The 27960-nt window shown below is 46.0% G+C and overlaps 1 protein-coding gene across 11 annotated transcripts, besides 3 other annotated features; it reads left to right on the top strand.

Moving 5' to 3' along the window:
* Window positions 49–758: a silencer, noted in NCBI's record as "silent region_15825". NCBI's record gives its function as "represses an Ori minimal core promoter by ATAC-STARR-seq in GM12878 lymphoblastoid cells {active_cell/tissue: GM12878}" and the evidence as "EXISTENCE:reporter gene assay evidence [ECO:0000049][PMID:35858748]".
* DCTD (dCMP deaminase) lies at window positions 165–27685 on the top strand. Of its 11 annotated transcripts, none has more exons than XM_017007820.3 (8): window positions 165–1103; window positions 1237–1357; window positions 1892–1895; window positions 2201–2315; window positions 2718–2853; window positions 23171–23287; window positions 24649–24745; window positions 26299–27685. In XM_017007820.3, the coding sequence occupies exons 4-8, from the start codon at window positions 2208–2210 to the stop codon at window positions 26375–26377; spliced, it is 537 nt and encodes a 178-aa protein (XP_016863309.1). In that variant the 5' UTR covers window positions 165–1103; window positions 1237–1357; window positions 1892–1895; window positions 2201–2207; the 3' UTR covers window positions 26378–27685. The 11 variants fall into 11 exon arrangements, with proteins under 11 accessions (XP_016863309.1, NP_001338676.1, NP_001338673.1 ...); NM_001351747.2 differs by having other exon boundaries at window positions 1888–1895; NM_001351744.2 differs by having other exon boundaries at window positions 1237–1490.
* Window positions 19647–20147: an enhancer, noted in NCBI's record as "H3K4me1 hESC enhancer chr4:183818782-183819282 (GRCh37/hg19 assembly coordinates)". NCBI's record gives its function as "activates a minimal SCP1, AML or CMV promoter by ChIP-STARR-seq in primed H9 embryonic stem cells {active_cell/tissue: H9 hESC(primed)}" and the evidence as "EXISTENCE:reporter gene assay evidence [ECO:0000049][PMID:30033119]".
* Window positions 22174–22744: an enhancer, noted in NCBI's record as "H3K27ac-H3K4me1 hESC enhancer chr4:183816185-183816755 (GRCh37/hg19 assembly coordinates)". NCBI's record gives its function as "activates a minimal SCP1, AML or CMV promoter by ChIP-STARR-seq in primed H9 embryonic stem cells {active_cell/tissue: H9 hESC(primed)}" and the evidence as "EXISTENCE:reporter gene assay evidence [ECO:0000049][PMID:30033119]".
* Window positions 27686–27960: the final 275 nt, after the last annotated feature.

Here is a 27960-nt window from a genome sequence, read left to right as displayed (position 1 = left end):
GAACACGGATGGTGGGGAAAACCTCACCACCGCCACCACCACCAAACCAAGCAGCCCCCGACGGTCGTGCAGTCAGGCCCGGGAGCGCCCAACTCGCGGCCACCCAGCGCCACGCGTGACCCGGGCAGCGGGGCGACCTCGGGGCGGTCTGGCACCCGGGAAGTAGTTTGTGCTCGGGCTCTGAACACCGCCGGCCGGACCGCGGGCTGCGTCACGGGGACCGGGAGGCGTACGGCGACGCGGAGCAGCGCCTTTGCGGCGTGCGACCCGCCCCCGCCGTCCCTCCCTCCCTCCCCTCAGGGCTTCGGGCCCCCGGGGCCAGCCGCCGTCCTGCGAACGCGCGGCGCCCGGGCCGCTGCCCCCTTCCGGCCCCGCGGCGGCCCCGCCTCCTCCCCCGACTTCCTTCCCTGAGCACGGCGGCGGCGGGGACGAGCACCGGCCTGCGCGCGGAGCCGGCACCGGATGGTGGGCGGGGGCCAGCCGTGCGGGTACGCGGCCCGCGCGCCCCTAGCCACCGCCGCGTGGCACCGTCCCGAGCGCGTGGCGCGGGGCGCTGGCTGCCGGGCGGGGGCCTGGGGCCGCGGACGCTGGGGGCGCCTCGGCCGCGCTCAGCCTTTAGATCGGAGAATGCGGGCGGGGTGGGGGCGCTCGGGGTCCCCGCAGTCACTCCAGGGTCGATTTCTCGGCGGGCGCCGCGGCCTGTGCGAGGCCGGGCCCCTTGGAGTGCCCCGGGAGGTGGTGCTGGGCGTCTGAACACCACATCCCTTCCTGCGCCCGTGTGTGGGTTGGGAATGCCGGGTGTAGGCCCTGGATCAGAGCTGACGGGGTTGCGAGCGGCGTGGGGTGTGCCTGGGACGGTGACCGGATGTGTCTTCCTGAATCGTTGTATTCGAGCTCCAGTTCTCTCTGTTTCTACAGCTGGGCCTCAGTCCTCACAGGGCTCTAGTGGGCGTTCAGCCACACCAGGAGAAGGCGCCCAGGGGATTAACAGGACCCTTCCCTCTCCTGCTCTTCCCTCGCCCCCCATGGCTCCCCCTCCCTCCTATTTAGTAGGTACTTCTCCAGCACCCCACAGCGATGATGGATGCTGGCCCTAAAGCCAGGTGGGAAACCAGGCTGATTCAGCACCTGTCTTTTCCTGTTAGGGGGGTTGCCAGGCCTCTCAGATGTGGGGCAGCGTAATCAGTGGGTGACCGTGGTTCCCAGCACCCACTCTCCACTGCATCCTTGTCTTAGGCACTGCCGCCCTGCACTGTAGCAGATGCCTAAATAAAGTGTGGAGCCTGAAGCAGAAGTTTTGGGAGATGCTTGCCTTCCTTTAGACCACATTCCTCGCCTTTCTCAAGATTTCTCCGTGGTACCCACCCCGTTTTTGTGTTGTCTTCCTTCCTTGCCCTTGTTTCATTCCTTTTGAAAGCGACCACTCCCCTGAAGTCCTAGGACCCCCTTCGTGGGCTCTCCCTGCCGTAGACAGTCTCTGCTTGCCCCTGGTAAACTACGTTCCAAAAACCTTGCTTTAGGAGTAGCACTTGACGTTTTTCATAGTTTCTTCTCATGTAATTCATTACTCGGAGTTGATAACTTCTGTCCCATCTGGATTATTGAGGAGAAAGGGAAGGGAAAAATTATCTGGTTAATATCAGAGTTGGGAAGGCTTCAGATGTTTTCTTTGAATCCGTCTGGCATGGATGATAATCCTGTGTGGTTTAGGTTAAGTTACCTAAGTTCTCTGAGTCTGTGTAAGATGGGATGGCACTGTCTACCTTAGCTAGGAGTAAGGCTTGAGTGACATGATGTGTATAAACTTTAACAATGTCTGGAATCTATAGATGATCAATAAATATTTCTTTTTTCCACCCTCCTCCTGTGCTGACTCCGCTTTGTAAGGGAGACAGGTAAAGGACACAACAATTTGTAGGCTGGCATAAAAAATCCTATGAGAAAGCAGTAAATAGATGAAATATTTGGGAACGTGAAGCTATAGGTTTCAAATTCAAACTTCTGAAATAGGAAATTTCTTAAGTTTTTACTTAAGACCAGAGACTGTTTAGGGCCCATGTGCTGTGATTTCTGATTGATAAATGTAGCTGAAGTTGCCCATGTTTAGAGATTTAAAGGTTCAGTGTGGTTGGGTTGAACTGGAAAACAGACTTACTAAAATGCTTCTCTCAACTTCTGTTTTGTCATGTTTTTCTTCTAGACCCAACATGAGTGAAGTTTCCTGCAAGAAACGGGACGACTATTTGGAATGGCCAGAGTATTTTATGGCTGTGGCCTTCTTATCAGCACAGAGAAGCAAAGATCCAAATTCCCAGGTAAATGAATTTCACGGGAGAATGCTTAGATACTCACAGGCAAAGAGATTACTGCACATGAGCAGAAAGGGGAGACTCAGTGGACGCCTGTCAACTTAAAAGTGCAGGGTCGGTCTGCCTTTTGTGCTGCGTTTCTACAAGCTTAGTTCTTCCTGTGAGACAGAAAATTGTCACATGCCATTGTTAACTGCCTCTTGTGCCCCTTCTGGGACTGGGGGTGCACTTTCCTTGGCTTGTGGGTGCTGCCACAAAAAACCAGGCAAGGAGACCGACAGCTCTCAGCACCTGCAGCAGCTATGCGTCTGTTTTGAGTTCTGCAGTCCCCCTGGTTTTATTCCCTGCTTCCACAGCGGCAGACCAGCCAGTTGCAGGCACCAAGCCTTTGGGCATGTTTCCTTCTAGGTCGGCGCCTGCATCGTGAATTCAGAAAACAAGATTGTCGGGATTGGGTACAATGGGATGCCAAATGGGTGCAGTGATGACGTGTTGCCTTGGAGAAGGACAGCAGAGAATAAGCTGGACACCAAATACCCGTACGGTAGGGCAAGTTTTATGTCCCATTCTGCTTAGTGACATAGCCTGGTGAGTGCCTAATTAAGAAAGTTGGTCAGAAGGCATCATCTCCCTTTTGTCATCAACAACTGGAAAGAAAAGTATCCTACTGAACTACCCCAATTTCCTGGCCTTGTCTCTTAAGTTCCAAAGAGAGCCACGGAGAGAAGCATGGTAGTGGCCACACAGGCTGGCCCTGAGATCCAGGGCTCTGCTGCCTGTGCTGAGCCTGGCAGGCTTCACTGGCAACCTGCTGGCCTGCACCACACCAGTGCACTGATAGTCGGCGTCTCTGCAGAGGGTCACAGCCCCTTGCAGAGATAGCTGAGGGATGTGCATGGTGTCTCTGTGGGTTCCTTTTTTTACTACTTGGAAGCAGGGTCGGCTAACCAGGGGCTGGCTCGGGCTTTGGTCTGATGAGAAGCAGGCTTCATTCAGCCCATGTGCCTGATGAGAACATCTGGCTCAAGCTCATTGCTGGCAAGCAGGAATCAAACTGTGAACTAGACATCAGGAGATGGAGGATCCAGTTGCTTCCTCCAGTTACAGGGGATGCTGCAATTTCACAGTAGGCTGTGGTCAGACCAAAAGCCAGAAGTGAGGCTGGGCACGATGGCTCACGCCTGTAATCCCAACACTTTGGGAGGTGGAGACGGGCAGATCACCTGAGGTCAGGAGTTCGAGACCAGCCTAGCCAACATGGTGAAACCCCATCTCTACTAAAAATACAAAAATTAGCTGTGCGTGGTGGCAGGTGCCTGTAATCTCAGCTACTCGGGAGGCTGAGGAAGGAGAATCGCTTGAACTCAGGAGGTGGAGGTTGTAGTGAGCCAAGACTGCGCCACTGCACTCCAGCCTGGGTGACAGAGCAAGACTCTGTCTCAAAAAACAAAACAAAAACAAACAAACAAAAAACAAAACAAAAACAAAGAAAAGAAAAAGCTAGAAGTGTAGAACTGTAAACCTTTGGCTTGACTGTCTCTGGATTTTCCCCTTGAAATTAGGGAAGGCTGCTTCTTAGAGTTTGTTGCCTGTCTAAGCCCCAGGGAAAATTCCTTCAGAGATTGCCTGGGAGGGTCCAGCCATAGCTTTACTTTTCCTTGCATTCCTTGGAGAATATGCAAGCAATGCTGGAAAAGAGGCAAATCATGCTGGGTATGCAGGTTGCTGATTTTTGTAAGGTTAGGCCCTGTATTTTATGTCTGAGAATGAACAGACTGGCGCTGTTGGAAGTGAAGGGAGAGTAAGGCCATCCAAATGGGAAAGATTGTGTCTTCAGGCCAAGGCGTGATGTACGACCTTTCTTCTTTGTTGACTCTCCTGGTAGGTTTTCTTCTGGGTTTTTCTCATGAAGAATCCAAGTCAACATTTAGTCTAATTTATATATTTTTACTAATGTTCCTGGACCTCAATCATGTTAAATAAGCCCCATAAATTTCTTTCTAAATTGCCTAGGGGCAACTTCTCCATGTTTGAAAGAAAAAGTTAAGAGGTACCTGGAGAGAGAGGAGGAACTGAGGACTGCAAAGCAGTCTGGGTTTCCAGGATGTGAAAAGTAGTTTAGGGATGAAGGGGACCGAATCCTCAGATCCTTGATTTAACCTCACCCTCCCTCGTCGGAGTGGGAAGAGAGGATGGAGTTGGGGGAGGGTAAGACTGTCTTCTCAGCACAGCTTCAGAGCCGGTGGTAGTGGATGACTAATTAGAAAAATGCGCGGACTCAGAAACTGTCACCCTGATTTTGATTCTATAAGCTTTTGATGGTAAGAAAGAAGGGAAGTGATTAGTTGTTTTTAAGTCCATGCAAAGATAATTTTTCACAGTGCGGTTCAAAGTCCCCTATAAAAATGGTGAAAGTGGAGGGTCGATATGTTAAAGGTCTGCATTGAACTGTGTGACGGCCACAGTCAGTATGTCACCGAGTCTGGGCAGTGAAATATTGGCCCTGGGGCTGGACTTTGATATGGAGGAATTCTGGGGGGATGGCGGTCCGTCATACTCAAGCTGGTGCAAAAGATACCCGTGGTTGGACAGTGCGGAGGGGTCCTGGGTGAGCACTGAGTGGGCCTCCCAATGGGGCCTGTGCCTTCTTCAGTCACCCAGAGCCCCCAGCAGATCTTTAAGCAGTGACCTGGAAGCCAAGGGCCATGCAGTACATTTGCAGCACCTGCCCCACACCCCAGACTTCCCAGCTCTCCTGACTTCCCGTGTAGCTGATTTTGTTGGTTATGAGACACTGCCTTTTGTCCAAATTGAGGAGAGTACCTTTCAGAGCCCCTTTCTAGAAGGAATTTTTTTAAAAACCTGCATAGGTATTTGTCCAACTTCACCGATTGTTTTTTATTGAATAGCTCCTGAGCTCCTGGGCACTGGTTGTCTGTCTGCATTATTTTTTATTATCCATATGATACCTCTAGGTTTTCAAAGCTCTTTGCTCTTACTTATCAATTATTCATTTATATGTAGCTGTGTTAGAATGTCGACAGTTTTCTTTCACGAGAGTAAGCTTGTAATTTGATGTACCATAAAAGTTGTAGAAGGTATTAAATGGTTTCTAAAAGGCATTTAGTATTACTGCCGCCATAATACAGTAAAGATGGGCTTAAAGTCTAAATGACGATGACTGTGTATAAACTGTACACTTGTTGTCTTCTCAAGGTTTTTCAGGCCACAGAGAAGTAAATGTTTGGATTGCCTGGGATGTCACAGAAATGTTTGCTGATAATTGACTCAAATGCAAAGTCTTTTTTTTTTTTTTTGCTTTCGTTTTAAGATTTTCAAAATTAATTTAAAAAATAAGGGGATACTGCCTGGAGTTGGATAGCTCAACCCATTCTTTCCTCATCTACATTAATGGTGACTGAGCTGCTGTAGCAGGAAGGGTAAATTCATAGGTTAATCCCTGTAAAGGAGCTTTAGAGATTATCTCGAGTTCTGGACAATGATTTTTAACTCTTTTGAATGTACAGGACCCTCTTTTAAATGCTGAAAAACTTCCAGGACCCCTGCATAATGCTAAATTCTTAGTATCTTTTGAGTAAGAAACTCCACAATGACAAAAACTACTTCGTATCAGTAACATTTTTTGTTAATCTGAACTTTATTAATTGGATAGCATTTATGTATGTTTGGGAAAAGTTTATGTATGTCCTGGACATGGGATTTATCCAGTTGTGGATATGCTTGGACCCCTTGCAATACCTTAGTAGTGTCTCAGGGTTCTATGCCCACAGGATCTAAGCCTCCTCCTTTCTTGTAAGTAACTTCTATAATGTCACACATGCAGGGTGACATCTCCTAATTCCAAGGTCAGTGCTCTTCCTGCTACCTCCCTGTGTCTCTCCTGTGGGGCACATGAATTCAGCTGTACTGAAATGCCAATCATTGTCTCATTTTTTTTTGCAGTTGATCAGACTGAGGCTCCGATAAAATAATTACTCCTCAGAGATCAGGAGCTCGGGGAGGGGTGGCCTGTGTCCGGCATCATGCAGAAAGCCACATGCGTGGCTCACTGTAACATTTCTTCAAAGGGGAGTGCAGTGGACTGAATGTGTCTCCCCCCAAATTCACATGTTGAAACCCTAATTCCAATGTGCTGATATTTGGAGGTGGGGCCTGGGGGGACGTAATTAGGCCATGAGGGTGGAGCTCTCCTGAATGGGATTAGTGCCCTTCTAAAAGGGACCCCAGGGAGCTCAGTTACTCTTTTTCCATGTGCAAGGATAGGCGGAGAAGATGGCTATCTGCAACCCTGAAAGGAGACCTTGCCAGAATCTAACCATGCTGGTGTCCTGACTTCCAGCCTCCAGAACCATGAGAAATAAATGTCCATTGTTTCTCAGCCACCCAGTCTATGGGACTTTGTTATAGCAGCCCCAAGGGACTGTGACAGGGAGCTTGAGAACTGTGTAAATTTGAGTTTACCAAATAACATACAGCTTAATACTGCTTTATTAATTCCGTAAGTCGGAAGTCATTAGTCCTGATTGATGCCTTGTGGGGAGGAGGGAAACACACACTACTTGTAACATAATAGGAAGATGGAGCTTTTCCTGGGCTGTGTCTCTAGAGAGTTATTTTTAAAGGGTGTTTTTGTTCTTCCAGTCTTGGGATCAAAACTTCATAAAACTATTTTATTATAATGTAGTATTAATGTGGAAAATGAAAATTCCCTCTGCTAAAGAAGCTTTTTATTCCATCCTTTTCCTGAAAAATCCAAAAGATAATATGATGTCAGTAACATTAAGTGGCAGGAAGAAGGCAATGTTATTATACTAAGAATCTTTTCAGATGAATGACAATTAAAAAAGAGGAAGCAGCAGATTTATCTAATTTACAAGATTAAAAAACTTGGGAAGATTTTTATTTTCATGAGGGGGTGGGTTGCTAAACCTGTGATGAAGTATTCAGTTGACATTTTTCATTCCTTTTTCTTTGTGGAATTCATTATAGTGAAGCACATTTAATCAAAATACCAATGTTATCAAATGAGGTAAAATACTCTTGGTGATTCAGATATCACTCTTTCCTTGGGTTTTCGTAACCGATTTTGATGATATAGTTTACAAATTAGAGAGTTGGAGAATTAACTTGTTCCCGTTGTTAAACTTAAGGGAATTTTTAGTAATGCTTGCCACATGTATCCAGCTGCCCAGCACTTGTGGCCTTGCTGATTTCTGCTGGCAAAGGGCTCTGGGTTTTGGTGAGTGCCTCTGTGCTTGGCCTCCTATCCCACCCAATGGACCAGGGAGCCAGGGTTGCTTGGCCTGCTGCATCTCACTGCACCAGGGAGGGAACCGTAGCATCTCAGTGTCCCCAAGAGTCGGGGGAGGCCTCACTCTGAGTGCGTTGGGTAGAAGTGGGGCTCTTACCCGAGTCAGTTCCTATGTCTACAGGGATACTCTAAAAAGGATGTAATGCTGGGAAGGAAAATGCTGAAAAACCTGGAATTAATTAAGGCGAAAGAGTTCAGCAGAGCATCTTAAACACCTTTGCCAGTGTGGGGCAGTGCCTCTTTAAATTCTCTATTTAAATTTCATCTTTATTTTTCAGACTTAGCATATTGTTAAGCATGCATAGATGTCACTTTTGTGATTACTTAGCCATTTACTTTACCCCCTTGAACACTGACATTTTCCTGACTGCCATGCACGTGATATATTTCTTTGGCATCTGAAAGGTTAGTGTTGAGAAACTAATTTATCAAGAAGTTAGGAGGCTGATCCTTCTTAAGATATGACTTCCTCACAACTTGTAAGAGCTTCTTAGTAATTAAGATCAAATTTGTTCTTTCCGTCCTGAAATTGAATGTCCTCTGGTTTCGTTAGTCAGTCCATGAATTTGATAACTTGCTGTTTCTTTTCCTGCAGAATTTAATTTCACTTAAAGCTTCCTGCCGCTCCTCCCCTGCCTGGCCTTCTACTAGTTGTGGCCCGACAGCAGGTCTAATTAGGGACTTTTGTACAAAACTACTGTTATAATCAATGGAAAACCTTTGAACAACTGCATAGAAAAGAAATTAAGTAGATTATTTTTACGAATCAAGGGGCAAACTCAGCTGTGATCGTGTGGGGTTTCAGATAAACAGAGGGACACACCAGTGTATATATGAGTCTTCTCCCACCCACTAAAATCAACCAGCTCCATGTAAGCATGTTTTACTTTAAGATATAATTGTTTATAAACAGTTTTCAGAAAGGAATAAATAATGATATTTTAATATAATTTATTTTGATATTTATGTATTTTTATAGTTACAGAGTTAATTATTTTTAAAGTGCTAGAGTTTACTATTTCATTATGAATATCTATGAAAGACATATAGTAACAAAATAACTCCTTGTTTTGAAGAGCACACATGTTAGGAAAAGCTGAAATGTTTGGGGATTGGACCTACCCATGAAAATACACATATCTGTCTCCTTTCTATAAAAAGTGACTTTTGAGTCAGTTCACCTCGTAGAAGTTTGAAATAAAACTTAATCTAAAGTAGTGGTTCCAGGGTTCCCAGAAGTGGGCTGAAGTTTATCTTTGTACTGTAATCTCTCAAGATAAAAGGTTTGTTGAAAAATTAGTAGCCTTGATAAAATGTCAGGGGCACATGCAAACTAATTTAGAAAACAGCTATGTTAAGTATTTGAGCACATTAATGATCTGAATGCAAATGGATATTCCTTCTTTATTTCTTCTTCTTCTTCTTCTTCTTTTTTTTTTTTTTTTTTTTTTTGAGACAGAGTCTTGCTCTGTCACCCAGGCTGGAGTGCAGTGGCACAATCTTGGCTCACTGCAGCCTCCACCTCCAGGTTTCAAGCGATTCTCCTGCTTCAGCCTCGGAGTAGCTGTGTGATTACAGGCACGTGCCACCACGCCTGGTTAATTTTTGTATTTTTAGTAGAGATGGGGTTTCACCATGTTGGCCAGGCTGGTCTCAAACTCCTGACCTCAGGTGATCCACCCGCCTCAGCCTCCCAAAGTCCTGGGATTACAGGCTTGAGTCACTGTGCCCGGCCACTTCTTTATTTCTTTAACTTTGCTAAGTCTTTGCTTAGAAACACAGGGATTGCTGTACAGTGTGGTTACCTGAGAATGATTACTCTCATAGTCTTGATTCTGGTGATCTGTTCTATGTCAGTTGTGCTGATTTTGACTGATCTTCTCTGAAATTGGCTGAAATGACTAAAGCTTTATTGTATTTTGAGTTTTTTTTAATCCGGAATCTCCCTTCAGGAGTTTTGTTAATACCAGCTATATTAAAGTAGAATATGAATATATTGTTTGCTCCCAGAAATACACAATAAAACCTAGTTCTTAGAGATTTTTGCAAATGTTTGTATTGCTTTTTACTTTTACTTCCTGAAGACTTTTTTTTTTTTAATCTGGATAGGGATATGCATGTCTGTAATACACACATTAGCTAAGTAAAGCCCCATAGTGCTTAAAACAACAATTGCCATATTCACACGAAAGAATCCTGGAGCCGCCGTAAGGAGCCAAGGGTTCCAGGTTTGGTATGTTCATGCCCAGTGACTGTGGGGCTGTTAGAGGCATCACCTGACATTTATTTCTCAATATCTCTATGAAGTAAATTATCACTGAAGATTCTTCCAGTTCTCTTATTCCAAGGAAAAATATAAGTATTATAGCTTTGATGGCATTAGATTAGTATCTTTTTCTCAGCTTACGGAGTTCTGAAAGCGTTCTCGGTCAAATCAGAGCTGTAAAAAGCTGTTGGAGGCAATGCCACAGGGAGAATGTGCATGTGTACATATGGATAAATTAATAGAAACAGGCGCCTTTCCCTCCCTCCTCTAACGATTAAAGACTGGCGCAGTTCTAAGATGAATATAGACCATATGGAGATAGGATGCATGAATAGGAGGGGACAGTCAGACTGTAGGTTACTCCACAGACATGCAGATTAAAAGACATTGGATGAGAAAAGGTTGGATAACAGCAATAAAGAAAAAGATCCTAGCTGAGTATGGAGTGCACGCCTGTAATCCCAGCACGTTGGGAAGCCGAGGCAGGTGGATCGTTCGAGTTCAAGAGTTCAAGACCAGCCTGGGCAACATGGCGAAATCCCGTCTCTACAGAAAATACAAAAATTAGCCGGGTGTTGTGGCGTGCAGCTGTAGCCCCAGCTACTCCAGGGAGGCTGAGGTGGGAGGATTGCTTGAGCTCGGGAGGCCAAGGCAGCAGTGAGCCAAGATTGCACCACTGAACTCCATCCCAGACGACAGAATGAGAGACCCTGTCTCAAAAAAATTAAGAAAAAGATCCTATGTCTAAGTGAAAGAAAATGTATGATTACATGGGACACGCTGAAAACTCTTTGAAAGAGACAAGAGGTTAAGACCAAATAGAAAGAAAGGACTTTAGAAATTCTTTAGAGAACAAGTCAGCATGACAATATTTATTCAAACAGAGATACTTGCTTGACATTGGGAAATCCCTGTGATAAATGCAGGATACTGGTGAAGGCAAGAGAGTTGCAATGCAAGGGAATGGGCGCTCCCCTTGCTGATGCTGTCTGAAGGGTCGGTGCCAACCAATTAGTGGAGGTGTAAATTTTCTCTGTGCTTCTTTCAAATGATAGATGCCATAGTAAATTTAAAATATTGAATATGATAACTGAGCATGAATTTTTTAATTCTGCAATTAAAAGACTTTGTTCAAAATGCCATTAATTTTGAGTTTAGGTGAATAAAGGGAAGCAGAATTCTTCTGTCATTTTTCCTTCTCCATGTGAGTTATCACTTTTTAGGAATTAAAATAAGTACTAACGAGTCACCTGTTCTCTTACCAGTTTCAGTTGTCTGCTGGTGATGGGGATGATCTCTGGAGTCATCTTTCTTTCTTTTTAAAATCCTAACTCTATTTTATAATGCGTTGGAGTTTTTCAGACACCATCACATGTGGTCATTTGTTCATTCAGCAGACACTTCTAGGGCATTTATTATGTGTTTTACATGCCGGGCACTCTGCAGAGGTCAACAGAATGCCATGGGAGGGTCTCTGTTTTTGAAGAGTTTGCAGACTAATTGTGGAGGAGGTAGACATTAATGAAACAAACAGATATGATTGAATATTCCTTTCTGAGGCAGTCACTTTTTTTTTCTTTTTTAATGAGATAGGGACCAGACCCCGAATCTGCCAGCCCCTTGATCTCGGACGTCCCAGCCTCCAGAGCTGTGAGAAATACATTTCTGATGTTTAGAAGCTACAAATTTATGATATTTGTTAGAGCAGCCCAAACAAACTAGGACAGGTTGTGTGTATGAACTGGATTGTTCTGGGGCAAGAGTGGAAACAGCGACTCGCCAGCCGGGAGGTGACGTGGTGTACGATGCGAGGGCCTTGGAGGGGGTGGGTGCTGGGGCTGGAGAGGCCTGGCTGGAGATGGGGTGTATTTTAGGGGCAGCATCAGGAAGATGGCGTGATAAAGGGTGGAAGAGGTAGATTGACTCCCCCCAAATGGTTCTGGTTGCAGTAGCTAGACAGGCATGCTGAGGAGGAGAAGCAAGATTTTGGAATGATCAAGGAAGATTTAGACACCTGAAGGCTGAGGTGCCCATGAGCGCTCCCTGCAAAGGGTTGGGTGGTCAGGTGGGTGTATGAGTTGGGGATTAGTCCCGACTGGCTGTAGCAGTACAGGTATGTCAGTGCCAGCGACCTGGGTGGCTGATGAAGGGAGCATGTGCAGAGGCAGTAGGAGTAGCTGTGGCTGAGCCCTGAGGGCTCCAGCGCTTAAGGTGGTTGGAGAAAGAAGGGCCCGTGAGAAGGAGCACACAGAGCAGTGCTTTAAGAAAGAAGGCCTCATTTTGGGAGGCCGAGGCGGGGAGATCATGAGGTCAAGAGATCGAGACCATCCTGGCCAACATGGTGAAACCCCGTCTCTACTAAAAATACAAAAATTAGCTGGGCGTGTTGGTGCGTGCCTGTAGTCCCAGCTACTTGGGAGGCTGAGGCAGGAGAATTGCTTGAAACTGGGAGGCGGAGGTTGCAGTGAGCCGAGATCGCGCCATTGCACTCCAGCCTGGCAACAGAGTGAGACTTTGTCTAAAAAAAAAAAAAAAAAAAAAAGAAGGCGGGCTTGTCAGCTGTATCGGAGGCTGCCAAGAGGCCTAAGATTAAAAGTGTTCATGGGGTTCAGCAACGTGGAGGTCAGAGGTGATATTGCCAAGTACAGTTTCAGCCAAGTACAGTTTCAGCGGAGCAATAGGGTTGCAAGCCACATTGGAGCCTCTTGAAGGAGAACAGAGGGTGAGACAATGGGGACAGCTTTATTTAGATCGGGCTTTGGGATGTGTGGCTGAGAAGAGAGCAGAGAAGTGGGGTGGTGGCTGGAATGGAGATAAGGCCACGGGAAAGGATTGCATTGTTTGTAGGATAGGAGAATCTGGTTTTGGCTTTGGTTTTTGCTTTTCTGTAGCAGACATTTGTTTGTTGATGGGAATAGTCCAAGACAGAGAGAGTGAGATAGAGATTTCTGGAACAGAGGCAAGGTGCTCAAGGCTGTGAGGATCGGTCTCTCAGACACCCTGGTTGATAATAAGAGGAAGGACTGAGAGGGGAGGTGGGAGGACAGCAGACACAGGGTCCTGGAGCGAAAGGCAGAGTGTGATCAGTTGCACCATTCCGGTGGAGGAAGCAGGGTCATCGGTTGAGAGAGCTGGGAGTTGGAGCTTGGATGCCGGGAGAAGAGAAGAGCTGATTGTGTGGGGTGGGAGAAGAATGTCCTAGGAATGTAGGGCAGTGTCAGGAGCTCACATCTTATCTGAGAATCTCGAGTTGGGCGGTTGCTTCCCATTTTCTACCTGCAGACCCAGGATCAGTGCGCTGCCTGAGGCAGGCCAGGGAGAGCTGGAATTAATTAGAACACACATCCCAGCTCCTCTTCCAGTGCCCAGTGCTCAGGCCCGGTTCCCCTCTAAACGCTATTAACACACAAAGGAGGCTTTTAAGCTCCATCACAGTACTATCAGCGCTGATTAGCGCTCTGTTTCTCTTGGTGCTGTTGTCACGCATTTTAGGCATCACGTGTGCATTTCACATGAACAGTGGGAAGGGAGTTGGCATGGCCTACCGTGGATGCAGTACAGCTATTTCCACATCCTCCTCCTCCTGACCTGATTGTGTGCCCTTAGCCCATAGGGAGGCAGTGTAATTAGAGTTCTGGGGGCTTTATTACCAATAATGGCCTTACCACAGTCAGAAATCTCTTTAGCCCTGAGCACTACCATTGGGGCTAAGTGGCTCCCCTGGGTGCCGTGAGTTGTCATCCGCAGCTTTAGCAAGAGGCATTGAGGAAGGGGGCAGGGATGGGGAGCAGAGTGGGAGAGAGGGAAAAAGAAATGGGTATTCTCACAGGCAGGCTGGATTGGGCAGGCCAGGACAGCCTGGTCTCAGGTGGGCACACGTGGGAGAGGATGGGAAGCACTCACATGTAGCAAGTAGCTTGTCTGTGCTGTGCTCTTGACAGATGTTAGTCTTTCTAACCGTTCTTGGAGAGGGACTTTTCTCTCTATTTCTTAGGTCCGGAGGCTGAGGCTGAAGAAGATGCTTGACTGGTAGGTTGTGGACAGTGTGTGAGGACATGGTAGGGAGGAAGCAGAGAAGACAGGCAGAACCAGGGGTCTCCAAGACCCCTGAGTGCATTGTTGCAGGAGCGGAGACGGAAGTTCTTGCCTCAGCTTTCAGGGCCCTGGGCTGTGGGCAGGCGGATGGGCACCCTGGGTGTGGAGGCTTCCCTCAGAGCCTGCAGGATGGGCTGCCTTTTACGTGAGTGACCCACCACTTTCTCCCCAGACCTTGGTAGAATTCCTTTGCGCTGTCATTTTCTTCTAGCAGAGCCCTCCTCTCTGGGCACAGGGTGGAAACAGAACAGAGCCCACACATTTTCCACGCATGCGGCGGGTTTCTCCACATCACCCCCGTTTCTCGTCTTTATTTTCACACACACACTTACACTGTCATGCCTATCAGGTGGAATCATGTGTCCCTCCATGGCGGGAGGGCTCAGTTACTTTATCTTCTGAGTAGAAAGGCCACACTCTGCCTGGGGCTGGGCTGGGGGCAGGAGTGTCTGGATGCCAAGGACAGGTAGGCTGTCGGGTGCAGCGTGATCGGGGAGGCAGAAGCGCTGTCACTTGTTGTCTCTGATCAGGAAGACCTGGTTCCTGCCAGCCAGTGTCTTTCTTAGGAAACAGGTCCTGTTCTGAGTACTGGTGACAAAGTCCCCATTTGCAGAGTTCTTTGGAGTTCACACAGCATTTTCCTACTGTGTCCCTCACTTGCTGTTCGTGTGACCCTGTGAGATGGGAAGGGGCGGGTGTCGTTATTCCTATTCGTAGCTGAGAGAGGCTGGAACTTGAACAGGGTATTACCTTTGTGTAGGCACATCCTAGGATTTAAATCCCTTTGTCCTGAAAAAACATTTGTAATCCACATACATTTTTCTACAGAAACAATGTTACTTGAAGATTCAGTTCCCCTTGCACCTGCGAGCAGTGCCTAGAACCCTCGTTTTCTGGATTTTCTCAGCACTCCTTCAGCAGTCCTACTGTGTTGCTTTAGCTTGCACTCGGGCCGCTGCTGATTTCCATGCTGGGGCATCGCAGCCCAGCTGGTGTGAGCTCTGCAGGGACCAGACCCACCTCCATCCCGCAGCCCACACACCCAGCCCTGTTAGCTCTCCACCCAGTGCAGGCCAGTTTGCAACCAGAACTTACCAGAACATACCTGGGAAACTGCGAAAGTTTTAAACTGTTTTATTTTCTTGCTCCAGTCCTGTTACTAAGGGCTGCTCCCCTGGGTGGGGGACAGGGCTCTGTCTGAGCAGGCTTAGAGGGACATAGGCTTTGGAGCAGTCCAGCAGGCTGGCAGGAGGAAGACAGGGCCTTAGCCAGGAGAGGGGCGGGGAGCAAGAGGGGCTTGTCTGGTGGAACTATCTTAGAGAAGTGATATCTGTTGATTTCTATATGGTGCTCCCTTCCCCAGTTCCACCTTTATTTCAAATCATTTGAAAACCTTGATAATGAGCCAGATTGCTGCTTTACTAATAGGAACTTCATGCAGGAGAGATAAGATAGAGAGGTGACATTATTTGGGACCAAATTCTAGAAATCTTTGCTTTAGATTTTGGGGAAGCCATAATTGGGAACACTTCATAAGCTTTTGGGAGAGTGTACTTGGTGGGGGTTGTGGGGGGCTTAACTGTCGCGGCTATTCCGTTGTTAAATTATTGACGTGCAGGATAGGGACTGCGGAGGCTGGCAGTGACATATGAGGCCCTGTCAGGATATCTTTCAATAATTAAGAAACAAGTAGTTGAAATTCCATTTTAGTTCCAGAAGCTGTGAAGCAGTTCCATAAATGGATCAGTTAGAGGAGTAAGTGTGTACCCCATCCCTCAGCGGAAGTTTCCATCAGGCATCTGTGGGCAGTGGGGGCCGGGGCAGGGGTGCAGGTGCTCCCAGAGACAACATGTCCAGGTTTAGCAACTCTGATAACTATAGGACCCCAGAAGTAAAAGCACTCAGGCCCTAACTTCAGGAAGAAATGACAAAAAGCTTTGTCATCAGAATGGAAGTAGAAAATCCTGTAAATTACTGAGTTTTTTTTTTTTTTTTTAATGCACAGGTCAACCTTGAACTTGGGTATGCCATTTCATGTCACTTGTTAATTGCAGGGTGGGAACCCAGTAGAAATAATAGAGGGTGATGCTTCCCACCTTTTCATTCCAGAAGGCCATGAGCAGACGCTTCTTAGCTCGAGTCCTGACCCTTGTCTTGTCAGTGAACAGAACTGTCCGTGCTCTGAACGGCTCAGCCTGGGGTGGCGGCAGAAGGCGTTGCAGGTCTGTTCTCAGTGGCAGCAGGCACTCCATGCCTGGCCTTCTGACCCCGGTCCTAGCGGGAGCCACCACACCAGGCTGCCACCTGTTCAGGTCAGCTTTGGCAGAACAACCCTCAGGTCTAAGGACATCGTTTTCTTTAAGGAAAATCCTGTGTCACTAAAAATGAGGGATTTTTAAGCAACCTGGAGAGTTCAGAACTAGAACTAGAGTTCAGAACTAGATCAGAACCTTCATTTTCCTGACTCCAAATTTTCTCAGGCCCCAGTAGTTCCTGTCACATCTCCATAGCAGATGAAGATCAGTTGAGGGTAGAATAACACTATCACTGCTAAATTATTTAGGCAGCAATTAGAATTTGTTCAGCATTATTTAGGGTTTTTAAACAAACCTATCTGAGTAACCTTATAATACTACCGTCTAAAATAGATATTGTATCAGTCTTATATCAGATGAGGTGAAAGTCACATCTATAAAACGCTGAACTCTTAAATCTAACCAGGGATGGAATATATCCTGTTAATTTGTCAAACTTCTAGAGAACCGCCTACATGAGACAGTAAGGATTAATCAAGCCCTACTAAGAGAGAATTTGAAAAATACAGTTTTCTAATTATACAGTCTCTTCTCCATGGTCCAAGGTTAATGCAGTTCTGAATTCTGACAGTTAGTAATAGAAAAGAAAAAAAAAAAAAACCAAAGCATATGAATTGTCTTATAATTACCTGAAACAGAAAGTCTCTTCTGGCAATCAAGGCCTTCTAAGCATTAATCTGATATTTTCAGCATTTGATTCTTTTCCTTTTAAACAAGGTTGGGAATAACTGGAGGGTTGTGTGTCACTCTTTGTGCTTATCAAATATATATGTACTGTTTGCAGATTTATTTTGCTTATTGCTTAGCTGTAGATGTGTAATTCTAGGTTGAACATTTTATCTTTTTTTCTTTTTTTTTTTACAATTTAGACTAACTTATGAATACTTCCTAGACACTGTATCTTTGAAATACTTGATCCTTATTCCTACTACGAATATAAAAACTAACAATTACTTCTTGGTTAGTTTTGGTTAGTTGTAGCTCTTGCTGCAGTTCATCCAGGCAACACAACAAAAATGTGCACTCTAGGGAAAGGTAAATTTATTCCTTCATTTATTGCTGTCAAATATCTGTGGAATGTTTATTGTACAGGTTGAGCATGCCAAATCCAAAAATCAAAATCTGAAACTTTTTTTTTTTTCTGAGATGGGGTCTTGCTCTGTTGCCCAGACTGGAGTACAGTGGTGCAAACACAGCTCACTGCAGCCTTGACCTCCTGGGCTCAAGCAGTCCTCCCACCTCAGCCTCCCAAGTAGCTAGGACTACAGGTGCACGCCACCATACCTGGCTAAGTTTTTTTATTTTCAGTAGAGATGAGCTGTCACTATGTTGCCTAAGCTGTTCTTGAACTCTTGAGCTCAAACGATCTCCCCCACTTGGCCTCCCAAAGTGCTGGGATTACAGGCATGAACTACTGCACCTGGCCCAAAATCTGAAACCTTTTGCACACCAGCATGACACTTGAAGGAAATGCTCATGGAGCACTCTGGATTTCAAATGTTTGGATTTGGGATGCTCACCTGGTAAGTATAATGCAAACATTTTAAAATCTGAAATCTGAAACAATTCTGCTCCTAAGCATTTTGGATAAGAGATATTTAACCCATAGAGGAAAGGTACATGGAAGCCCCAGACCACCCAAAAGAAAAGGCCTGGGGAGAAGATGGGCAGTTATGGCTAGACACCAGATTTCAGGTTTTACAGATGGATCTGGCATCTGAGAATCTATGAACAGATGGATTCTTAAGGTCAGTGACTGGCCGGGCGCGGTGGCTCATGCCTGTAATCCCAGCACTTTTGGAGGCCGAGGCAGGTGGATCACCTGAGGTCAGGAGTTCCAGACCAGCCTGGCCAACATAGCGAAACCCTGTTTCTACTAAAAATACAAGAATTAGCTGGGCATGGTGACGGGTGCCTGTAATCCCAGCTACTCGGGAGGCTGAGGCAGGAGAATCATCGCTTGAAACTGGTAGGCAGAGGTTGCAGTGAGCCGAGATCACGTCATTGCACTCCAGCCTGGACAACAAGAGCAAAACTCCATCTAAAAAAAAAAGAAAAAGAAAAAAAAGGGCAGTGACTATGGGAGAAAAATCAAAGACCAATATTTTACCTTGGGAAGTGCCCACAAAGGCAGGAAAAATAAAAGGACCTACAGAAAAGTAAAGCAGAAAGAGAACACAAGTGTATGGTGGTCCTGAGAGGTTTTAGAATAGAGAGGAGTCCAAAGAGAGCAGGTGAATCAAAAGGTTCCAGGCCAGAAGAGACCTTGGGTTTTCATGATGACGAGACCCTCCTGTGGCCTGTGGAGCTGGCTCTCATCAGGTCATCAGAGCCAACTGTGCGCATTGCTTCCCAAGTACACGTCATGTTGGGAGTGGGAGATTGGCTGTGTGAAAAAATGTCTACACCACGGAAATTGGCAGATATATGGTGACCCAGCAAACACAGTTGACACCTGAAACATAATTTTTAGGAATAGTATTTAACCTTGTATGCGGGATCCATTCTGACCTCTATCCTTCCCTTCTTACCTATTTCATTAAAACAGAAGAAAAAGCTGGTGTAACTCATTGAACTGATTTCATGACCTGCAGTTTGAAAAACATTATTTTAGAGAAAACTGGGGATTATGTATGCCTTACAAAGTCAGAAGACAATTATTTTAAAAATAAATTATAGTAACAATTGTAGATAGGATGATTTCATCTTGAAAGGAGGAAAAAAAGAATCCTAAAAGGCTGACAAGATGACCTCTCTAGACTAAGGACTAAGTATGCATGCTTACAGGAGAAGAAAAACGAGCAGAGAGAAGCGGGAGCCCTCAGAGATGGAGGGAGGAAGGGGCTGGGAGCACGGCCTTGTGTTTGCCTGGGGAGAGGAGGCCGTGTTTTGATAGTGAAAGCTTGTTTTAGAGAAAGTCACCTGTTCTGGAGGATTGAGGAATGAAACTGGAAACCTTAGGAAAAAAGCAAAGACATCGGATGTACTTGGTATTTTTTAAATTGCTTTTATTTAGTTAGCTGGAAATGCACTTTCTCAGATCCACTGTCACTCCTGCAAATTACAAGAGCGCTCAGCCACCCTGTCGAAGGTCATCCGGCTTCCAAGCAGCAAATTGGACCTTGAGCCCTCGTGCTGCCCTTGTTGCAAAGCTCTTTGTCCACACTCGCTGGCAGAGGTGGAGAGTACAGAGGGGAGGATGCTTGGCCTGTGGTGGTCTGGCCAGCCAGGGCAGGCATGAGCTCGTCACAGGCCAGGCAGTCATCGAGTGCTCTTTGTGGCCTGAAGTGGATTTGGCAGGTGCCTGTTATTTGATCAGTGTCGATGGCCAGTCGACACAAGTAAATGAATCCCCAAACTTTACTCTGACCCACCTGCTTTAAACAAATTGGAGGAAGTCATCAAGTTAGTTTCCCTAGTTTCCTCTCTGAGGACAGTCTGGGGGCTGAGGCCTGGCTGAGTCCTGTCTCCTCAGGACAGGCCCAAAAGGAGGTACAGGGCGGCCTGGGGGACAGCAAGGTTCAGAGTTTCAGGGCTATGGAGATCCTGGAGCTGATAGACGAGTGTCAGCCACAAAGGTGAAGCTGGATTTCAGGACCACAACAGGCGGCAGCTGGGAGTTACGAAGGGGGCAGGGCTGGGTTGCGGCCTCAGGTGCTCCTCTGGGTTGGGGCTTCTCTCCTCAGCCCCGCAGGTGCGGGTCGGGCAAGCCTGTGATCATAAGACAGGGCTGAGGGGGTCTGGGGAAGGGTACGGGAACCAGCAAGAGAGACCAGGGTGGGGCTGATCTTACACCCTCCACCGAACACTTGAGTTTCCTGCTTGTCAGTGTCCACTTTTGCGTATGTGGGATTTTGGATTGTTCCTTTTAGAGTCTCATGTGTACCCGACACACTACTGTTCATATTGCCCAGTAGCTTTATATATATGTAAATATATATATATATATATGGGTGCTAAATATTTATCAAATGAATAAAGGAGGAAATGCAGATTCCAGTTATTCATGGTGATGTTGGGAAGTACTGAAAGTCCTCTTAAATTCAAATATCAGAAATATGCTCTCCCATCTAATAAATACTTTTTGATGGTGCTGGTATTAATATTCAGATATGATATATATTTAATATTTATTTTTAATATTAATATTCATATATATATATTTTTTAACAAGAAGCTTTACATTCTTCATCTTGTGATTTTTTGGTTAAAAGAAAGGAAGTCTGTTTATAATGCTGTGCATTATTTCTATAAATCGCCCTCTGTACACAGGGATGTCAGATGCTGCCCAAGAGAATCTGTTTCATATGGTAATTTTCACTAATGAATCCAGACCTATACTGTTAAATTTTGCCCCAAACTGCCTGGGATGAAGTAGAGGAAGCTCATGGCAGTGAGCGTGACAGTTCTTAGAGGACGCTATCATAGTGTTTCATAACAGATGCAGAGGCTCTGCAGTTCTGAATATTAATACCAGCACCATCCAAAAGTATTTATTAGATGGGAGAGCATATTTCTGATATTTGAATTTAAGAGGACTTCCAGTACTTCCGAACGTCACCATCAATAATTGGAATCTGCATTTCCTCCTTTATTCATTCGATAAATATTTAACACCCATTATGTTCATGGCATCACATTAGACTCTGGGGGAGTTACAAAGAACCTAGGCTGGGCTCTGCCCTCAAGGGGGAAATAAAAGAAACAATTACATGTAATTGTTTTTAACACCAAGCAGCGTGAAACCCAGCTCTGGAGCAGCCTGGTCACAAGGGGGAGAAGAGGTCACGGGAGCCCCTCCAAGGCCAGCGCACATGTGGCCATACCTTGTGCCTTCCCAAGCCCGGGCCCTCGCACCCTTCTCTTGTCTTTCCTTGTCCTCCCATGCCGTCAGGGTTTATGAGACCTGCAAGTCTCGGGGCATGGCTCTGGTCACTCTGGGCAGCGAAGATGATTCTCTGATGGGCTGTGGTCAGTGAAGCACAGCTTGTTTGCCTCTTTTGATTTTCCTGCAATGCCAGGAGAGATTGCTCAGTTTTAGGCAGGACTGAGATCTCCTAAAACATGGAATTTGTAGACAAAAATGAATACTTCCTAACATTTCCTGAGAGAGCTTTTGGTCAGCCTTATGCCTGCAACATTGCATTGCTGCTGGGGGACCCAGGCACACAGAGGTAGCTGCAGCTGCACCCGAACACGAGAGGGTGGCTGAGGAGAGTGGCCAGGCCTTCATCTCTCTGACCCAGAGTACGTGCTCAGTAAATGATCATCGATGAAGCAAGTGAGTCGGGACTGAAATGTATGAGCGCCATAAGTTTAGGCCACTGCTCATTTAAGGCCTCAGAACTCCTGGAAGTGTTACGTGTAGAAGGTTGGCAGGCTGGAGAGGGTAGGGGAGACCTTGAAGATTCCCATATTTATATTCTAGGTGGCTTGTGTGATGTGGGCCATGGCCGGATGTCATTCATTAACTCGTTTGACAAATATTTATTTTAGCACTTGTGTGCATAGCATGTGCTGGGAATACCAGGGGAGCCAGAAGGCAGTGCTTCCGGAACTTGTCTGCACGTTGGAATCACCCGGGGAATTGCTTACAAATTCAAGCCCAAGCCACAGCCCAGGCCATCACACTCTGCAGGCACAGGGCACAGATCTCTGTATTTTGGAAGCGCCTAAGGGTGTTCTGATATCAGAGAGGTTTGCAAGTCACGGCTGTTAGGATTTATAATAGAGTTTTAGATAACACACCCAGGAAAATTCAGTAACGATACAAGACGGCCATCCAGAAACCTCCTGGGCAGGATGAGGGAGTCAAACCCAGGTGTGTGCTGTGGGCACCACTCATTCCCCCTCAAGGAGGATGTCGCCTGTGGATTAGGGAGCGGGAGCATCTAGGCAAACTGGACCTCTGGGGTGTGTGTTGGCTTTGCCAGGTTCGAGAGAGGGAGGAAGGGGATCCCCTTGACTCTGAACTCAGGCAGGTCCGGATGTGACCCGGGATCATGGGTGGAATGCACTGGTCTATCAAGAGCTCAACTAGTCATTGCCATTTAAGTGGATGAATGTTTTTCTTATAAAAGACAGACTGGGCTGGGCATGGTGGCCCACACCTGTAATCCCACAGCTTTGGGAGGCCAAGATGGGAAGATCACTTACGGCCAGGATTTCAAGACCAGCCTGGGCAACATAGTGAGACTCCATCTCTACAAAAGATACAAAAAATTAGCTGGGCTTGGTGGCACGTCTGTACTCCCAGCTACTTGGAAGGCTGAGTTGGGAGGATCACTTGAGCCCAGGAGCTCGAGGCTGCAGTGAGATATGATCATGCCGCTGCACTCTGGGCAACAGAACGAGACCCAGTCTGGCTGCTGGCGTTTTTCCTTGTGCGTATGTGGGCTGAGCACGATGTGGTAAAGCAGATCCCTCAGGATGGACACGCTCAGCTTCGTCACTTGTTGATTCTCTTGCTCTTAAAATCCCCTAGCCCTCTTAACAGCCACGGTGAACTTCCCCATGTGTGCGTGTCAGCACACCAATGAGCCAGCTCAGGTGGGCACTTTCATGCCCCAGGGTCTTGTGGAGCCGTGAAGCGGAGCTGCGCTTAGGGTGGGGAAGGCACTTGACCTCGGCCGTCCTGGCCGCTCTAGGTGCCTTCAGGCCTCACTGCTCATCAGCAACCAGCCAGACCACGTGGGCCTCATTTGGTATTCTTAGGACTTGCCATTTCTAATCAATGTTTTTACTTGAGTCTGTTATATGTTATTTCAGAGGGGGGAATGGAATGTGTTAACACTTAGTAAATTCTTCATGAGCTGCAACCAAAGTTTTTCTTTCTTTCCCTTTCAACCCACAGTGTGCCATGCGGAGCTGAATGCCATCATGAACAAAAATTCGACCGATGTGAAAGGCTGTAGTATGTATGTTGCCTTGTTCCCTTGTAATGAATGCGCTAAGCTCATCATCCAGGCAGGTAGGAACCGGGTCTTTCCATTTGTCACATTTGCATTGCTGCCTGCTCGTCAGTAGCTCATTGCTGATGTGTTTGATCTTAAATTGCTATTGTTTAGATCTAAATTAATTGCACTATCAGCTTTGCAAGATATTTCCCGTGTTTTGTTTTTGAATGGTGCCAGGTATTCTAAGACTAATTGCATCCTCTGTGATTCTTAGCATGTTTTTAATTTAGTTTGCAACTTCTTAAACTGCAAGCTGCCAAAAAACAACACAGGCATTGCATATAATTACTGTCAATTTACTGTTCTCTGACATATTGTGCATAGATTTGGGGGAGGGAAGAAATGAACTTCTGTCAGAAACAAGGTCAGCTGGGAGTCTGTATATGAAATTTTAATTTGTATCTAATACATGGTAGATATTTGAGGATCTCAACATACCTTGGCATATAAATGTCATAAGACCCAAATGGCACTACCTTCAGGTTTTCTTATTTTACGGTTCCCATAAATCTACACCATTGTATTCTGAATATTTCGCCTTTTTCAAACTGTCACATCTAAGATTCAGCTACACTTTGTCTCCATAAAACTCTCGGCTGGAGATTTAAAGACTTACCATGTTTAGCCAAATGTGTGGTTTGAAGGGGCCGTTTATCACCAGTCCTGTGGATCTCAGAGCAGAAGCGGCCTGCTGGTACTGAGGAGTCGCGTGGGCTCCCTGGCTGTCGCCGTCACCGTTCCTGGGAAGCTCTCCTCGCGGTGCCCAGGTGTGGAGGCGGTGGCAGGCCTGTGGGCCGAGCAGTCCGGGCCCCACACTGCAGCCTCCTCTGCCTTCAGAGGCTGATGGAGCAGCGGCCTTCAGTGCGGGGCCCTTGGGATTCCTGGCTGCCGAGTTAGCGCTGCCTGCTGAGATCAGGACAAGAAAACAGATCTGCCCTCTGTAGAGCTGGTTTGAAGTGGTCTGCAAAGCCATGCTGGGAAGCACAGTGGTGCCCACCTCTGAATTTGCCAGCAGCCCCCACTCCCTCCATTAGTCCTCCCACTAGTAAGAGAAGCTACCTTGTGCATACTGCCTTGATTACCTGTAGTAAGGGAAATTGGTTAATCGGATCAAGGCTTGACTACTTGACATGTTTTCCCTTTGCATTTGTTTAAAAAAAAAATCCATAAAGACTGGAGGGAAGATTAGATAGAATCCACCCTCTGCTGTATTAGAAAGCAGCAGATATGTATTTCAGTGACTGGACACTGTCTGCAAGCACACTCAGAAAAGGTCATTAATCATAGACGCTGAAAGTGCTCCAGCTGCTTCCGCCTGTCTTTTGCAGCATCTGTAGGTGCGTACACTAAGGGAGCTCCCATTGTTACCTTACAGGTATAAAAGAAGTGATTTTCATGTCTGATAAATACCATGATAGTGACGAGGCAACTGCTGCGAGGCTCCTGTTTAATATGGCCGGGGTGACATTCCGGTAAGTGGGGAGAATGCGGGCGGGGGGACGGGGTAGGGTGAAGGCTGATGAAGAGATGTATTTGACCTTGTCTCCTCCTTGTGATGCCTGACTTCCACACTTGGAGGTGTCTTTAGAAATGCAAGGGCATAAGAATTTAAAGACTATTATAGGGGTAGATATTTAAGAGCAGTGACAGGAAAATCTGAAGACCATTTGTTTAATGATTGTACTTTAATTTCAGTAACTTTCCGGGGTAATTAGACTAATTATTCAAGTACTGAGAAGTTTAAACATTCACAAGTTTTATAATAGGAATGCCAAACCTTGGTGAATTTTGCAAATGTAACAACTTTGGCATAGAAAATTTAGGATGAAAGTAGCCTGCCAGATTGAAACATTGGGGATTCTCTCTTTTTTTTTTGAGACGGAGTCTCGCTCTGTCACCAGGCTAGAGTGCAGTGGTGCGATCCTGGCTCACTGCAACCTCCGCTTCTCAGGTTCAAGCGGTTCTCCTGCCTCAGCCTCCCCTGCCACACCCAGCTAATTTTTTTGTACTTTCAGTAGAGACGGGGTTTCACCATGTTGGCCAGGATGACCTCATGAGCTGCCTGCCTCAGCCTCCCAAAGTGCTGGGATTACAGGTGTGAGCCACCTGGGGATTCTTTTTACAGCAACATTTTGCATTGAGATTTGAAGTCTTACAGATTTTTATGATTATCTTTGCTAAGAAATGGTTGTGAGCTATATTTTACTTGCAAGTAAGTTCAACTACCTTTGATTCATGGCAGAAAATTCCTTTGGGACTGTAAAGTTTTCCAGCGCTTCATGGTATTGGCGTTCAGCAGCAGTGGGACCATGGTCATAGGTGACGTGCCCTGGCCCCTTGTGCTGGTCATTAGGGATACAGCTCAGTGTATCTCATGAACTCAACCGTGGTGCCTTCTGAGACTTTAAATTCAAATTATTTGTATACTCTCTTGTTCAGTGATTCTTAAAAGAATTTGTTTTGTTCCCAAATGTCTTCTTTTTAATTGTTGTAGAAGAAATGAGGAACAAGTGAAAAGTTAATGAGCAAAAAAAAAAAAAAAAAAGTTGGTTTATGTTTGCATTTTTAGAATGTAATTTGAAAAATTACTCCTCACTAAAGGTAGTCGTTTTTTGCTATATATAAGCGGCAAAAGAAAATTTACTATTTTTTTGCATTAGAGAGACTCCAAGTTGGCTGCAGAAATTTTTCTAGAAAATAAGATAAATCTGATGGGAAAACTAGTAATCGGATATCATGTTGTGCAGCTGACTTGTTAGAAATCCTTTGACTCCCCAATAATTCGTGAACTCAGAGAGCTGAAAACATACAAACCACACCACCCCATGCATCTTTTTTTGTCTTAGTCTTTTCTGCTCTGTGTTTCTCTTGGTATGGTGCACTATAATTGGCTCCTATAGAGAGAAAATAGCAAGTGAATCCCAGGACATATTTTTCTCTGCACAGAAAATATGAGTTAAGCCAAAGTAAACAAATTGCTTTCACTACTCACCAGATAATAATTGTATTTTGTTTTTATTTTTAGGAAATTCATACCGAAGTGCAGCAAGATTGTCATTGACTTTGATTCAATTAACAGCAGACCGAGTCAAAAGCTTCAGTGAGTTACATCTCATTCAATCTCCAGAAGATTGGGATTATCGTCTTCTAAGAGGTTGCTAATGCCTTTCATCTTGAAGTTACACATAACTTCTTACTAGCCAGTATGGCAAAAGTAGGCATCTAAAGAATATAAAGCCTCAAATCTTCCTTACTGTCTCTCTTGTCACATGGAATCTACATGTGTTTGAACTATTGCTTTAGGGTTTAAAATAGGGGAGCCTGTGGTGGCCTGGTGCACAGGGCTAGAACGAGAGTGCCTCCCCTTCTTGTGTCCTGGCTGGCTGGGATGCTGGTGGCTCTTCAGAGGAGCATCAGCTGTCTGTCATCTGCTGCGATCCGGCAGCCTCTCTTCACTGCTACATGTGCTGGAAGGACAAATAAATAATTGTGGTTGTGTTCTTAATGGGGACGAGCAGACACACTGATCTGAACATCTGGCCCAAGTGAAGCATGGCATATAGTGCCCTTGGAAGAAAATTAGGCCTCAAATGACAGTAGCATTGAAGTGTTTGCTGCAGAGTTGAGGGAAACCCCCAGCCACCCTCCCGGAATCCGAGATAGGGTGGCACATCTGTCCTGACAGACGAGGAGTGTAACTGAACCAGGAATATTTCCTCCATTCCTGCTCTCCCACTGCACACAGGGTGGTGGCACATTATCCCTCTGGGGGGTGGGGACGCCTGTTGTTTTGGCTCAATTTGGGTTTGTTGGTCACATGGAGCTCTTCCATTTCGTTTAGCTGAATAATGAGTTGTTCCTAGAGGAGACAGCCTGTCTCTCCTTGTTGCCCCCAAAGCCCATGCCCTGCCGTGGTGGCAGCTGGGGCTGTGGATGGGAGGGGTCCCCAACATGGATGTGTTGCCCCTCCTCCGCATGCCAACGCAGTTCATGTACAAGGCCCCTCTGCAACTGGAGAGAAAATTAATTCCTATCCCGTGAGTGGATTGTGAGAAATTCCACCCACGTGGAGACAGCTTACTGCAGCACTGTTGGTGTTCGGAGCTCTTCTGTGCCCTGGCTCCATGCTTTCACCTACACAAGCATCACCTTCCTAATCACCGCGGGGCGGGGAGCGTGTGGCTGTGCCCCTTCTCTTTAATCTCATTTAATTTTTATTAAACATGCTCAGTACCTGTGTTGAGAAAAGGCTTTCTTTATCCTAAAGATTATTACCTTTTTAAAGTGCTCTTATATTTTCATGAGTTTTTATTTTGTCTCTGAGATTTTGTATTCCACATTCTAGGGTATTCTGTAATTTGGCTCCTTACCAATATTATTAAAATCTTATTAAAATCTACCCTACCAAAGCATGTACATTTTTATGTTATTATAATTATATGCTTAATTTTCTGCTCCTGTCCTTTCTGTATTGTCTCCGAAGCATATTACATATGTTTTAATGCTCAAAGAATAATTTGAGATGCCCAAGCTGTGTGCGTTCCCCAGGGTTGATGTCTGGGGCTGCTTTATGGATCAGATTTATGTAAAATGCGAAGGCAGCCGCTAGCCCTACGCTCTCTCCTGTGTACCCTGCCCCTGGTCCCAGGTGTGGCCATCTATCTGGTAGGGCCCAGGCCTCTGTCCT

The sequence above is a fragment of the Homo sapiens genome, chromosome 4 (assembly GCF_000001405.40).
Source record: "Homo sapiens chromosome 4, GRCh38.p14 Primary Assembly".
Taxonomy (NCBI): domain Eukaryota; kingdom Metazoa; phylum Chordata; class Mammalia; order Primates; family Hominidae; genus Homo; species Homo sapiens.
Note: the sequence above shows the minus strand (reverse complement) of the source record. Positions and strands in the feature narration are given on the sequence as shown.

Coding starts and splice junctions, on each gene's coding strand:
- DCTD (XM_005262778.4), top strand. CDS start 1,078: ATGATGGATGCTGGCCCTAAAGCCAG. Junction 23,288..24,648: donor TAAGCTCATCATCCAGGCAG/GTAGGAACCGGG, acceptor GTTACCTTACAG/GTATAAAAGAAGTGATTTTC. Junction 24,746..26,298: donor ATGGCCGGGGTGACATTCCG/GTAAGTGGGGAG, acceptor TTTTATTTTTAG/GAAATTCATACCGAAGTGCA.